General features: G+C 44.3%; 1 protein-coding gene across 3 annotated transcripts in view, besides 1 other annotated feature; it reads left to right on the forward strand.

The window, feature by feature from the left end:
* OAS2 (2'-5'-oligoadenylate synthetase 2) overlaps positions 1 to 15057 on the forward strand; it is a 33205-nt gene that overhangs the window by 6392 nt on the left and 11756 nt on the right. For 2 of the 3 annotated variants that reach the window (NM_002535.3, NM_016817.3), the window contains exons 2-5: positions 2128 to 2398; positions 10386 to 10564; positions 12610 to 12845; positions 13356 to 13500. In NM_002535.3, coding sequence (NP_002526.2) covers positions 2128 to 2398; positions 10386 to 10564; positions 12610 to 12845; positions 13356 to 13500 — 831 coding nt within the window. Of the gene's footprint in view, positions 1 to 2127; positions 3896 to 10385; positions 10565 to 12609; positions 12846 to 13355; positions 13501 to 15057 lie in introns of those variants that run through there. The other variant, NM_001032731.2, reaches the window with a different exon arrangement.
* Positions 11718 to 11887: an enhancer, noted in NCBI's record as "experimental_24560 CRE fragment used in MPRA reporter constructs". NCBI's record gives its function as "activates a minimal promoter by MPRAs in K562 erythroleukemia cells, with activity observed for the non-introgressed 12:113434518 variant allele {active_cell/tissue: K562}" and the evidence as "EXISTENCE:reporter gene assay evidence [ECO:0000049][PMID:34662402]".

Genomic DNA, 15057 nt, shown 5'->3' on the forward strand with positions numbered 1-15057 from the left:
AGCTTTGCTGGGTATCGTATTCTTGTCTGAAAGGGTTTTTTTTTAGCACTTTGAGCATATCATCCTATTCTCTTCTGACCTGTAAGTTTTCTGCTCAGAAATCTGCTATTAGTCTGAGGAGAATTCCCTTATATGTGACTTTATACTTTTGTCTTGCTATTTTCAGAATTATATGTTTGTCTTTGACTTTTGACAGTTTGACTATAATATGCCTGCAGAAGACATTTTGGGGTTGAATCTATTTGAGAATCTTTGAGCTTCCTGTATCTGGGTGTCTAAATCTCTTGTAAGACATGGGACGTTTTCAGCTATTACTTCATTAAATAGATTTTCTATGCCTTTGCCCATCTCTTCTCCTAGATCTTTCCAAATTTAAATATTTGGTTACTTTATGATTACCAATATGGCACATAGGCTTTCTTCACTCATTTTTATTTATTTTTCTCTCCTTTTGTCTGGCTGGATTATTTCAAAAGAACTGTCTTCAAGTTTAGAAATTCTTTCTTCTCCTTGACCTAGTCTATTGTTAAAGCAGTGAGTTGTATTTTTATTTTATTCATTGATTTCTTCAGTTTCAGGAATTCTCTTTGGTTCTTTTTAGCAATATCTATCTCTTTGTTGAGTTTCTCATTCAGAGCATAAATTATTTTCCTGATTTATTTGTATTGTTTATCTGTGTTTTCTTGTATCTTACTGAATTTCTTTAATATCATGGTTTTGAATTTTTCTTAACCATTGCACAGATATCATTTTCTTTGGGATCTGTACTAAAGAATTATTGTGCTCCTTTGGAAGTGCCATGTTTCCCTTGCTTTTTCATGTTTCTGTGTCCTTACATTGATATCAGCACAGCTAATGTAACAGTCACTTCTCCAATTTTATTTATTGACTTTCATAGGGAAAGACATTTTCCTCTGCTGGGCATGATGGCTCATGCCTATAATCCCAGTGACTCAGGAGGCTGAGGTGGGAAGATTGCTTCTGGCAGGAGTTTGAGGTTACAGTGAGATATGATTGTGCCACTATGCTCCAGCCTAGGTGACAGAGCAAGACCCTGTCTCTAAAAAATTAAATAAAAATAAAATAAAAAAGATGTTTTCCTGTAGATGTGTCTATAGTGTTGGTTGAGTGGAGCGCTTTGGCTTTGATTCTGTGTGGGCACAGTTAGTGGAGCCTCCACATGATTTCATTAGCATCAGTGTTGTCTGTGAGCTCCTCAGTGGCTGACAGTGTAGTTGTTAATGGAGTCTGTGGAAAGGCTGTGCTGGGAACAGGGACATCAGGCAGGTTGGTCTTCAAGCACCAGTGGTGACAGCAGTATGCCAGGCATGCTGGTCCTCAGGCCCCCAGGCAGTGTATGTGGGTGTCAATGCTGGTGTGTCCAGGTGGGCAGGGTATCAGACTTCAAGATGACATGTTCGGGTGCCAGTGGTAGCAGCAGTGGACTGAACAGGCAGGTCCTTGGGCCCCCAGGTGGCTTGTTTGGAAGCGGCAGCAGCAGGCCAACCCTCAGGCCCTCAAGTGGTGTACACAGGCATCAGTGATGGCAAGCTGGGTAGGCTGGTCCCCAGGCCCTTGGGAGACACATGTGGTCACTAGTGGCAGGCAGAGTGGGCCCATCCTTAGGCCTCTGGATGGTGTGTGCCTGTGCTGCTGGTGGTAAAGAGGACGGGTTAATCTCCTGGCCCCTGGGCAGCACATGTGGATGCTGGTGGCAGGTGGGGCGAGCCTGTCTTCAGGTTCCCTAATGGTGTGTGCAGGTGCTGGCCGCAGGTGGGACAGTTTTACCCCCATTCCCCCAGATGCGCACAGGCACCAGCAACAATGGCAGGTGAGGCGATCCTATCCTCAGGCCCTGGGACAGTAAGCACAGGTGCTGGTGGCAGGTGGGGCAGTTCAATCCGTTTCTATTGCCAGCGGCCATTTGAGTCACCTCCAGGTTGGGGCTAGTATGAAAAGTGTTACTATGAGCATCCCAATCAGGTCTTTGTGGGGCAAATGGATGCCTGCCACTCAATGTTAAGACCATTTTTGGCTTTTACTTGAGTTGAGAAATACCACTGCCTGCTAGAGATCCCTGTAACCCCAGAATCTAGTGTCTCATATCTGCTTCTTTGTCACTGGCAGGGTGGCTCCTATGGACGGAAAACAGTCTTAAGAGGCAACTCCGATGGTACCCTTGTCCTCTTCTTCAGTGACTTAAAACAATTCCAGGATCAGAAGAGAAGCCAACGTGACATCCTCGATAAAACTGGGGATAAGCTGAAGTTCTGTCTGTTCACGAAGTGGTTGAAAAACAATTTCGAGATCCAGAAGTCCCTTGATGGGTTCACCATCCAGGTGTTCACAAAAAATCAGAGAATCTCTTTCGAGGTGCTGGCCGCCTTCAACGCTCTGAGTAAGCATTGCTGGGTGTCAGGAGAGAAAAGCCAAAGAAGCGGGTGCCAGACAGCTCTGTGCAACCTCTAGGCCATGAGTGGGATAGATACCACTGCTGCTTTAAAAAATGGGAGACCATAGACCCTCAGGAGAGAAGAATCCCTTCTACCCTGGACTCGCTCTCTTCTCTGGAACTAACTTCTCCCCCATACCCTGATTGTCTTTGGAGAAAATGTTCTGGATTCTAGAATCTAAGGCAGAGCCTTTTAAGCCATACTGTACACATAAATCACCTGGAACCTTGTTAAAATGCAGATCCTGACTCAGGAGGTCTGAGTTAGAGCCCAGGATTTCATATTTCTAGCCAGCTCCATGATGAGCTGCTGGTCCGCAGATCATGCTTGCAGGTTTTGACCAGAGTCAGTGTTGGTTAGAGTAAGAGGATGAGGCAGACATCTGGGAAAAGTCCAGCTGGGGCAAGCATTTGAAGTCTGCCTTCCTACCAGGTCAAAATCAAGGCAACGACCTTCCATAGATAACTATCAAAGCTTGAGGGGGTGCCTTGAACCCAACTCCTAAATCCCTAAGACCTGCCCACCTCTTGTGTCTCCTGTCTCAGCAAACATTCCCACACTCTTGCATATTGTTAAAGTAACCTCTGCTTACCAGGCTTCTGGTTTAATAAAAGATGGCTAGAGTGACTCCATCTTAAAGCAAGTAGCTAGGCACTCAAAAGGAACCTACAGGCTTAATACTTGGGTCTGAAAATAGCCACAGTCTAAGCTGACCACCAATTATAATTGCAGAATATTTAAGGCCATACAAAACATCTCCCACTAAGCCTACAAAATGTCCAGGTGTCCTAAAAGTTCAGCCCACTTAAAGGCAGCATTAATGAGCAGGTTTAGGTTGAAGGATTAATGGTCATCAATACCACTGTTAAGAAGAAAATTCTTGGCCAAATTGAATTTAATGGAGTTTAACTGAGCAGACAATTCACAAATCTAGAAGCCTCCTGAGCCAGAGTAGGTTCAGAGAGTCTTGAACACAGCCACGTGGTGGAAGAAGATTTATGGACAGGAAAAGGAAAATGATGTACTGAAAATGAAAGTGAGGTACAGAAACAGCCAGACTGGTTATAGCTCAGCATTGGCCTTATTTGAACGAGATTTGAACAGTTGGCCACCTTTGATTGGCCGAAACTCAGTGATTGGCACAAGAGTAGGTTGCAGTCTGTTTACACATCCTTTTAGGTTATAGTTCACCATGTACAGAGAAATTTTAGGCCAAACTTAAAATATGTAAGGAGGCAGCTTTAGGCTAAACTTGATTTAACAGCACCAATACCCCCTACCTTTAGTGAGCACATCTGCACATTCCAATTTTAATGACAGCTCCTTAGAATTTCTTATCAACGAAGACACTAACAAAGAATGGCGCATTCCTCCTTCTCCTTTCTGAGGATGCCCTACCCTGTAACAAAGTCGTTTCTAATAAATTTGCTTCTTTCACCATACTCTGTACCTGCCTTGAATTCTTTCCTGCATGAGATCCAAGAACCCTCTCTTGGGATCTGAATCAGGACCCTCTTTTCCAGCAACGCTATCACCTGTAAACCAAAAGTATCTGAGACAGGTCTCAATCTATTTAGAAAGTATATTTGCCAAGGTGAAGGATGTACCCATGACACAGCCTCAGGAAGTTCTGATGACATGTACCCAAAGTGCTCAGGGTACAGCTTGGTTGTATACGTGGTATGGTTTGGCTGTGTCCCCACCAAATCTCATCTTGAATTGTAGCTCCCACAATTTCCACATGTCATGGGAGGGACCCAGTGGGAGGTAATTGAATCATGGAGGCAGGTATTTCCCATGCTGTTCTCATGATAATGAATAAATCTCACGAGATCTGATGGTGTCATAAAGGGGAGTTCCCCTGCACAAGCTCTCTCTGGCCTCCCACCATGTAACATGTCCCTTGCTCTTCCACCATGATTGTGAGGCCTCCCCAACCATGTGGAACTGTGAGTCAATCAAACCTCTTTCCTTTATAAACTACTCAGTCTCAGGTATGTCTTTATTAACAGCATGAGAACAGACTAATACAATACATTTTAGGGAGACATGAGACATCAATCAATGCAGGTAAGATGTACATTGGTTTGGTTTGGAAAGGCAGGACAACTCAAAGTGGGGGCTTCCAGGTCATTGGTAGATTTAAAGATTTTCTGATTGGCAATTGATGGAAAGAGTTATCATCAATAGAAGGGAATGTCTGGGTTATGATGATAAAGGGTTGTGGAGACCAAAGTTTTATCATGCAGCTGAAAACTCCAGGTAGCAGACTTCAGAGAGAATAGATTGTAAATGTTTCTTATCAGACAAGAGCCTGTTCTATCACTAATTCCAAAAGAGAGGGAGGTATCATGAGGCATGTCCAGCTCCTCCTTCCCATCATGGCCTGAACTGGTTTTTCAGGTCAACTTTGGAATGCCTTTGCTGAGAGGAGAGGTCCATTCAGATGACTGGGGGTGCTTAGAATTTTGTTTTTGGTTTATATACCTAAGCCAGGATTGTATCTCCAGCTCCCCCACCTCCTCACTCACAGCCCATCACTAAGTCCTGCCAGTTCTGCCTAACTTGCTCCTAAATCTGCATCATTTCTCTCCCTTCCCACTGCTACTTCCCTAGTCAACGTCACCACCAGGGATGGGGCAATGGCTTCCTAATTGTCTCCCTGCCTCCTGTCTCACTCCACCCTGCAGCTGGTGCTCTCTTTCCATGCACAAATATTGTGTCACACACTCTGCCTCTAATGGCTTTTCACTGCATTTAGGAAGTTGACCAAAAAGGCCAAACTCTGTAAAATATTTTAAGAGGTTTTTTCTGAGCCAAATATGAGGACCATGACCTGTGACACAATCTCAGTAGTTCCTGAGAACGTGTGCCCCAGGTGATTAGGTTACAGCTTGATTTGTATACATTTTAGGGGGACAGAATTTACAGGCAGAAACGTAAATCAGTACACATAAGATGTGCATTGATTCAGCCTGGAAAGGCAAAATGTCTCAAAGCAGGGTCTTCCAGGTCATAGATGGTTATAAAGATTTCCTGATTAGCAGTTAGTTGAAGGAGTTCAGCTTAAGAAAAGGGGAGTTGTGGAAGACAAGGTTCTTATTATGTAGATGAAGCCTCCAGGTAGCAGGCTTCAAGGAGAATAGGTGGTAAATGTCCCTTATCAGACCTTAAAGATGTCAGACGATTAGTTAAAATCTCTCCTGAATCAGGAAAAGATCTGGAAGGGGAAGGGGATTCTCCACAGAATGTGAATTTTTCCACAGGACACAGCTTTGCAGGGCCATTCCAATATATGTCAAAGAAATATATTTTGGGGTAAAATACTTTTGATTTCCTTTAGGGCCTGTTATCTGTCAGGTGATGCCAGAGTTAGGCTGGAATTTGGTGTCATACTGCTACAAAGAGTCTGTTCTGTCAGTCTTGGGGTCTCTATTTTAATGTTAGTGTTTGTCGATTGTGCCTGAATTCCAAAGGGAGGAGGGTATAATGAGGTGTCTGAGCTCCCCCTTCCCATCATGACCTGAGCTAGTTTTTCAGGTTTCTTTGGGGGTTCCCCTTGGCCAAGAGAGGGGTTCATTCAGTAGGTTGGGAAGGCTTAGAATTTTATTTTTGGTTTACAAGGATAAGGATCAAACTCCTCAGCAGGACAGGACTTTGATGATCTGGCAGCCCCTACTTACTTACCTCTCCAGCTGTACCACTCACCACCAACTAACTCTCTATGCTTCAGCCACTCTGGCCTTCCCTGAGCTCCTCAAACCCACATGATGCTAGCTCAACTTGAGACTTTGGCCTATACTGTTCCTTTGCCTGGAATATACTTCCCCCAGCCTTTTATTTTTGGATAACTCCAACTCATCCTTTAAGTCCTCTGGCTCTCTATGTCTGGGTTAGATCCACTTTCCACATGCTCCAGTAGCAATTTGTGCTGTCTGAATCATGGGATTTATCACTTTGCAAACCCCAACTATCTGAGACAGGTCTCAGTTAGTTTAGAAAGTTTATTTTGCCAAGGTTGAGGATGCGCACCCGTAACACAGCCTCAGGAAGTCCTGATGACATGTGCCCAAGGCGCTCAGAGCACAGTTTGCTTTTGTACGTTTTAGGGAGACCTGAGACATCAATCAACATATGTAAGGTGAACAATGGTTCACTCCGGAAAGGCGGGACAACTCGAAGCAAAGTGGGACAATTCAAAGTGGGGAGAGGGCTTCCAGATCATAGGTAGATAAGAGACCAATGGTTGCATTCCTCTGAGTTTCTGATTAACCTCTTCCAAAGGAGGCAATCAAATACACATTTATCTCAGCAGAGGGATGACTTTGAATAGAATGGGAGGCAGGTTTGTCCTGAGAAGTTCCCAGCTTGACTTTTCCCTTTAACCGAGTGATTTTGGGGCCCCAAGATTTATTTTCCTTTCACAACTTATATGGAAATAATGTATTTAGCTTTCTCCTCTCCTAGACTATAAGCTCCATGAGGACAGGTATCATGAGTATCTTGTTCTTCTATGGTCTCTAGTACAATGTTCATTATTAATAATAGTTGTTGGTTGGATGGATGGATGGAGCATGATGGATAAATGGATGGAAGGTAAATGGATGGAAAAATGAATGTAGATGGATGGATGGATAGATAGATATTAAATATATGTATATATTTATGGATGAGGTAGATAGATGGATAGTCTCAAGCACAAAGTCTCAAGTACAGGTGCACATATAATCACAAACTTAAATAATTCCAGGCTGGGCACAGTGGTTCTTGCCTATAATCCCAGCGCTTTGGGAGGCTGAGGCAAGAGGATTACTTGAGGCCAGGAGTTTAAGACCAGCCTGGGCAACATAGTGAAACCCCATCTCTACAAAAGAATTAAAAATTAGATGTGGTGGCATGCAGCTGTATTCCTAACTACTGGGGAGACTGAGGCAGGAGGATCACTTGAGCACAGGAGTTCAAGGTTGCAGTGAGCTATTATTACACCACTATACTCCAGCCTGGACAACGGAGCAAGATCTTGTCAAAAGAAAAAAAAAAAAGAAAGAAAGAAAAGAAAAGGGGAGGGGAGGGGAAGAGAGGGGAGGGGAAGGGAAAATTCCCAAGCTGAAACTTAAGCCATCATTAAACAAATGGGGAAACAGAAAAGCCCAGGTCTTCTAAGCCCATGGCCAGAGTACCTTCCATCACCTATAGTTTTAAGGAATTTCTGGGTTACCAGGAACCATGAAGAACAATTAGCCCAGGCATCACTGATAAGGAGGAGACATACAGACATCCTGATAACTCACATTCACAGAAAGGTGGCCTGGCTTGGGGAAACATGTACCAGTTTGGGAGGTTGGCAGTTCTGAGTTCTTATCCTGGTCCTACTACTCACTTATGCCTGCCAGCTGTACAGTCAGACTAGAAACTAGATTCCAGGGCCATTAGGATGCTCAGGGTTGGGGGTGGGGGCCTGCTTCAAACAAGGGCTGGAGTCAAGGAGGGAGACAGGTGCATCATAATTCTCATAGGAAAGTCCTCTCTTCCTGTTCCAAGTGCCATGCTGGGAGACCTGGCCAGAGCGCCCTCTACTGGGTTCACCCCATCATGCAAGGATGGTGTGAGAATGAGAAATAAACTCTTCCCCACATGTGCTACCCAGAAGCTGCCACTAGATGGTGGTAAAGCTGCACATTCCAAATTATTATAAGCTCCTTTTTCTGCAAGGAAACACAGGGTCACTTTCTGAGAAAAGCAACCTACAGGGGAATTGGTAACTTGCTTTTCGTTTTGTTTTGTTTTTTAAACTAAATATTAGCCTAACTAATCTGGCCTATTTTTACACCAGGTCCAGGCTGGCTGTCTCCAATTCTGCATCTCTTTCCACCACTGTGTGCCACTACAACTCTCCCCCTAGGGCCTTTGACCCAAAGCAAGAAGTACCTATTTACTTGACTGGCTGGTATTTCCATTATCCTCATCTGTAAATTAGTAATTGCAATTGCACTTGCCAGCTAAGAGTTTTGTGAGGCTTGTATGTTTCACTGTACATAAAAGGCTTAGAGTAAACACACCATAAACGTTAGCTATTTATTATCATTATGGGGGAAGATAGAATGCTCTTTCCGTCAACCTCCCTGCATGCCAAGTGCCCAGAACCATGCCTAGGGAGTCAGTAAATATCCACTGGGGTGTATGAAAGGAACAAGCTAGCTGCTTTCTCCTGGTTTCTTATCTAAATGTGTTTATGGGCCAGGGAGCTGGCTCACGTCTGTAATTCCAACACTTTGGAAGGCCAAGGTGGGAGGATCACTTGAGGCCAGGAGTTCAAGACCAGCCTGGGCAACAGGCTTTTTTTTTTCTCCAAAAAAAAAGCCAAACATGGTGGCACACGCCTGTGGTCCCAGGTACTCAGAAGGCTGAGGCAGGAGGATCACTTGAGCCTTGAAATATATTTGAGGGTACAGTGAGCTATGATTGTGCCATTGCAGTCCAGCCTGAGCGACAGAGAAGACTCTGTCTCTAAAAGTAAGAATAATGATGAAACAAACTCAGTAGTCCTATAGACCATTTTTTGTTTGTTTTTGTTTCTATTTGTTTGGTTGTTTTTTTGTGGGGGGGGGAGGGTTGTTTTGTTTTTTAATGAACATAGAAATTGACCCTTCTGATCTTAAAGCTTGAAACTTACATTTGTTTTATCTAAGTTCCTTCCTCAGAAAAGGAACCTCAGACCTCTCAAAAAGTATCAAAGAACTGAAACTCACCAGTCACTGCATCCAGACAATGGGATGTCAAATCCCTTATTCCTCATGATTACCTCCTTACCCCTCCCTAATTCCCGTTTTCCCACACATAGTTACATTTCTTCCCTGCTATATAGAACCCTAACTTTAGTCTGTCAGGGAGAAGGATTTGAGACTGATCTCCCATCTCCTCAGCTGCAGCACCTGATTAAAGCCTTCTTCTTGGCAACACTTGTTTCCGCCATTGGCTTTCTATGTGGTGAGCAGCAGGACCTAGACTGAACCCCTGGTGTTTCAGTAACAGTAATCAATCAATAAATGTGTTTATTTTATTTTTATTTTTATTTTGAGACAAAGTCTCACTCTGTCACCCAGGCTGGAGTGCAGTGGTGCAATTATGGCCCAGTGCAACATCCACCTCTCGGGGTCAAGGAGTTCGCATGCCTTAGCCTCCTGAGTAGCTGGGATTACAGGCACCTGCCACCACGCCCAGCTAATTTTTGTATTTTTAGTACAGACGGGGTTTCATCATGTTGGCCAGGCTGGTCTCAAACTCCTGGCCTCAGGTGATCCGCCTGCCTCAGACTCCCAAAGTGCTGGGATTACAGGCATGAGCCACCGTGCCTGGCTAAATAAATGTGTTTATAAACAGTGGAACTCAGCTAGCAAGAATGGAAACCCATTGATTAAACCAGCCCCTGTCCCCAGACCTCCAGGGCCCTGCTGCCACCTTGCCTGCCTCCTCAAAGTCCCTGTACCCTGACATTCTGAAGTAAAATATTCACAGGATGGACTCAATGACAGAATATATTGCATGTAAAATATAAACTTTCCTTTCTTCCAGATGTATGCTAACTATGCCAACACAAACAATTTTTTAAAGAACCCACTTGCTCCCTACTAATTTGGATAATTCCCTTTCTCGTTTATAATTCCATCTCTTGTCCCTCCATTAGGTTCTGCTGATCTTGTCTTGGGTTAACACCATACTGTTTTCATTACAGTCAGTTTAGACTACACTTTATTATCTAATGGGCCAAGTCACCCTTCCCTACTATGTTTTATGTAAAGGTACCTGTCCTCTGACCGATTAAGCAAGAGTCGTGTGCTATCAAACTATAACTGACCTTCATTGTAGAGCAACCCTGGCTCTCTAAAACCAGGTTACATAAATAACAACGTTCCAATTTCTGTTTCACATCAGGCTTAAATGATAATCCCAGCCCCTGGATCTATCGAGAGCTCAAAAGATCCTTGGATAAGACAAATGCCAGTCCTGGTGAGTTTGCAGTCTGCTTCACTGAACTCCAGCAGAAGTTTTTTGACAACCGTCCTGGAAAACTAAAGGATTTGATCCTCTTGATAAAGCACTGGCATCAACAGGTAATTTTCCAACTGTCTATATATGGTTATCATTCATTTCCTTTTTATCGAGATAATTGACATCCAGTAAAGTGCAACAATCTTAGGTATACAGCTCAACGCATTTTTTACAATCTTACCAGCAACACCCAAATCAACATAGGGAACGTTTCGTGTACCCCAGAAGGTGCCTCAAGCCCATTGTCCCCCTAGTAATCCTCCCAAACAAACCCCTATTCTAACATCTATTACCACCGCAGATTAGTTTTGCTTGATTTTAAACAAACAATGTAAGTGGGATTATATGGTACATACTTCATGTCTGCCTTCTTTGGCTCAACGGGATGTCTGAGAGACTCATTCATATGGTTGCAGGGTCTTGCTCTGCTGCCCAGGCTGGAGTGCAGTGGTGGGATCTTGGCTCACTGCAACCTGTCTCCTGGGCTCAAGCAATCCTCCCATCTCAGCCTCCCAAGTAGCTGGAACTACAGGAGTGTGCCACCATACCTGGCTAATTTTTGTATTTTTTGTAGAGATGAGGTTTCACCATGTTGCCCAGGCTGGTCTTGAACTCCTGGGCTCAAGCTATGTGCCCACCTCAGCCTCCCAAAGTGTTGGGATTACAGACATGAGCCATGGCACCCAGCCATAGTAGCACTTTTTTTCATTGTTTTCCCATATTCAATTGTATTAATGTAACACACATTTATCCATTCTGCTGCTTTGGGTCATTTTCAAATTGGGGCAATTTTCAAATAGATGATTGGGTCATTTTCAAATTGGGGCAATTATGAATTAGGTTACTATGGGTATTTCCCTACATGTCTTTTTGTGAATGTAAGCATTCATTTCTCTTGGATAAATATGTAGCAGTAGAATTGCTGGGCTATCCAGTGCACATATATGAATGTTGTGTACATATATGCGTGTAAATATATAAAATATATATGTAGTTTGTTTTTTTGTTTAACCATAGCAAATCTTGCCGAATCATTTCCAAAATCTTACCAAATTATACTCCCATCAGCAAGATGTGAGTTTCAGGCATATTCTCAAACCCAACTGGGGATCTGCCCACCCAGCGCAGCAAAGCCAAACAGACTTTGGGATTGCAGTGAGAGAGTGAAGCATTTATTGCAGGGAGCCAAGCAGGGAGAATTGGGCAGCTCATGTTTAAGAGCCGAACTCCCCGATGGCTTACAGGTAAGGGTTTTAAAGGTGAGGGGACAGAGGTTACAGGCAAAGCCATAAATCAACACATGGAGGCTGTACATTGGTTTGACCTAAAAAGGTGGGACGTCTCCAAGCAGGAGGGAGGAGGAGGATGGGTGGCGCTGGTCACAGGATTCAAAGACTTTCCAATTTGTGATGGGTGAAATGGGCGAAGCTTTATCTAAAAATTTCAGATCAGCAGAAGGGAACGTTAGCTCTGGCTCGTAGGTGTGACCTCCTCCAAAACCCTCAGGAAGAAATTTAGAACAAAGAACGAGGTCAGGGTTCAATCCTCAGTTTCCCCTCATCTGAGGTCTACCTGCCAGTGGATTTGCTTGGTGGGGGCCTGAGTTTCTGAAAATCAACTCAGGGACATATGCTAAGATGTTATCTTTAGTTTCTATAGGGAACAAAACATCTTTTGACTCTAACTTCCTTGGCTACTGTTTTAAGTGACTATTACCTTCTTTTTTGTTGTTTTTGTTTTATTGGGTTTTTTTTCACTGCTCCTGTAGACCCTGAACTACTGTATTTTTGCTTATCGAGTTGCTCATTGACTTTTCAAGGCTAGTAAGGTGCCTGGAATTTCCCTCGAAAGAACTCCAGATTTTCCTTTATTTTCATGCTTGTGGGATGGGAGCAGTGGGTGGCCTGCAGACACCTAAGAGAGGTCCCTGCTCCATCCCAGTTGTTCCACATCTTTGTCAAGACTTGGTATTGTCAGTCCACTGAACTGTAGGCATTCTAGCAAAGGACAATGACTTCCTGTAGACCTCTGGTTTCTTGATTTCAGATCCCTGACATGGTAAGAACTAGATCCCCCAATGAGCTGCTACCCTTTCCTTATCCCACAGTGCCAGAAAAAAATCAAGGATTTACCCTCGCTGTCTCCGTATGCCCTGGAGCTGCTTACGGTGTATGCCTGGGAACAGGGGTGCAGAAAAGACAACTTTGACATTGCTGAAGGCGTCAGAACCGTACTGGAGCTGATCAAATGCCAGGAGAAGCTGTGTATCTATTGGATGGTCAACTACAACTTTGAAGATGAGACCATCAGGAACATCCTGCTGCACCAGCTCCAATCAGCGAGGTGCCAAGCTTCTCACACCCTATCCCTGTACCTCATCATCCGCATGCCAGGCATACCTCTTTGGAATGAGATCTCAGCCTTGCCCTATCAAGCCAGTGCTGGACCAGAAGAATGGCAGCCACCATGGGTGGGGAGGCAGATGGGTCTGTCTGAAAGAGGGGAGGTCCAGCCAGTGCTTTTCACATTCCAAACCATAGTCACATTTTGTCCCCTAAACAAACACTGGAGAGACACTTCCCCTTATAGAAGGAAGGAGCTAAGAGAGAAAGGGGATGGGGGGCAGGAAGAGGAGACCACTTTGTTATTTTATTAATAGAATGTCTCTGTAAAGCAGCAAACCCAGGGCCAGAGGGGCTTGATGTCGTAGACAAAATCCCTCAGCAGCTTGGAGGAGCTGCAGGAATCCAAATTCAAGTTGCCGGATTCCCACTCCAGGCCTCTTTCCCCAAAACAGATTTTGCCTCCCACAAGCAGCTCAACTGACTTTTTTTAATCTAATGGAATACACAGGCCAGTAATCTTGGATCCAGTTGACCCAACCAATAATGTGAGTGGAGATAAAATATGCTGGCAATGGCTGAAAAAAGAAGCTCAAACCTGGTTGACTTCTCCCAACCTGGATAATGAGTTACCTGCACCATCTTGGAATGTTCTGGTAAGAGGGTTTTCCAAATACAGGGTGTTTCATGCTGCAGGAAGGTCTTCCTGACACCCAGGCTAGGTCTTATCTGAGAGTACTCTATATTCGTTTCCTGTATTGCTGTTACAAAGTTCCACAACACAGATGGCTTAAAGCCACAGAAATTTATTCTCTTACCATTCTGGCTATTACAAGTTCAAAATCAGGGTGTTGGCAGAGCCAAGCTCTCTGCAGGCCCTAGGGAAGAATTATTCCAGGCTTCCTGCAGCTTCTGGTGGTTGCCAGCAGTCCTTGGCTTGTGGCTGCATCACTCCAGCCTCTGTCCCTGAGGTCACATGCCCTTCTCCCTACATGTCTTCACATCACCTTCCCTCTGTGCATGTCTGTCTTATCATCTCCTCTTCTTCTAAGAACAACAGTCATACTGAATTAGGGCCCAACATAATGACCTAATCTTCACTAGATCCCATTTGAAAAGACACTATTTCCAAGTAACACACATTCATCGATACTGTAGGTTGGAACCCCAGCATCTTTTAGGGAGACACAGTTCAACCCATCACACACCATCAGGGCAATGACTGTGAAGTGCAAAATGGAACAAAGAGAAAGGGGGGTACCCAAAGATGCGAGATCTCAATTAATTTTTGCAAGAGAGAAAGCTGGTGAGCAGGTGGAGACATGAAACGGAGCATTGCTCAGAGAAGGGGGTGGCAGTCAGGCCTGTGGATGCCAGGACAGGCTCTGAGCTCCGTTCAGGCAGGTGCCGGGGGCAACAGTCAGAAGTGCGGCCGAAACAAGAGAACCAATTAAGGCACCAGCTGTGAAACAGGTGCACTGGCCTTCCCCCTCCCATCCCCAAAAGGAGAAGTAAATCTGTCAACACAAACTCCCCTGCATGCTCAGTGCTTATTAGAGAAAAGCCATCCAAGAAGAACCTTCCCAGGTTAGACCACTGAGCCCTCTCAGCTTTCCTGGGAACCGCACTGGAGACAACTGTATTAATTGAGGCCAAAGAGGCCAATCAAATTCCACAGTTCACAGACAGATTAATTTATATTCAAGTTATGGGAGGCGGAATCTATACCCCGTTTGCACAGAAGTTTGAAGGCTAACTGAGTACCAATCTGGCATGTAAATGAAGATGTAAATGAGTTTAGCAAACTTCACAGAGGTTGGGGAGTCTATGAATGGGGAACTTCCCTAACTGGACCCAGAAGGATCAGGACGCTCTGAGCAGTCACCCCTGTGCCCACCCTAACCCCTACTTTCACTGGACCCCTGGTCTTTGCTCTCTGACCCCAATTTTCCCGGCTTCTTCAGACAGATTTTTTCAAAAAATTATCCCCCCGACCTGACATCTTATTCTGAAGCTTTGAAACATTTAAAAAGTTAGAAAAATGATTCAGTAAACTCCTATGATCCCCTCACATAGATGCAGTACCCATGTGCAACATTTGCTATGTTACAGTTTGTGTGTGCACACGTTATTATTGTTGTTGTTACAGTTGTTTTTAATCTTTTTTTAAGAGATGGGGCTATAACTCGCTACATTGGCCAGGCTGGTCTCAA

Source organism: Homo sapiens, chromosome 12 (genome assembly GCF_000001405.40).
Source record: "Homo sapiens chromosome 12, GRCh38.p14 Primary Assembly".
In the NCBI taxonomy this organism is placed as follows: Eukaryota; Metazoa; Chordata; class Mammalia; order Primates; family Hominidae; genus Homo; species Homo sapiens.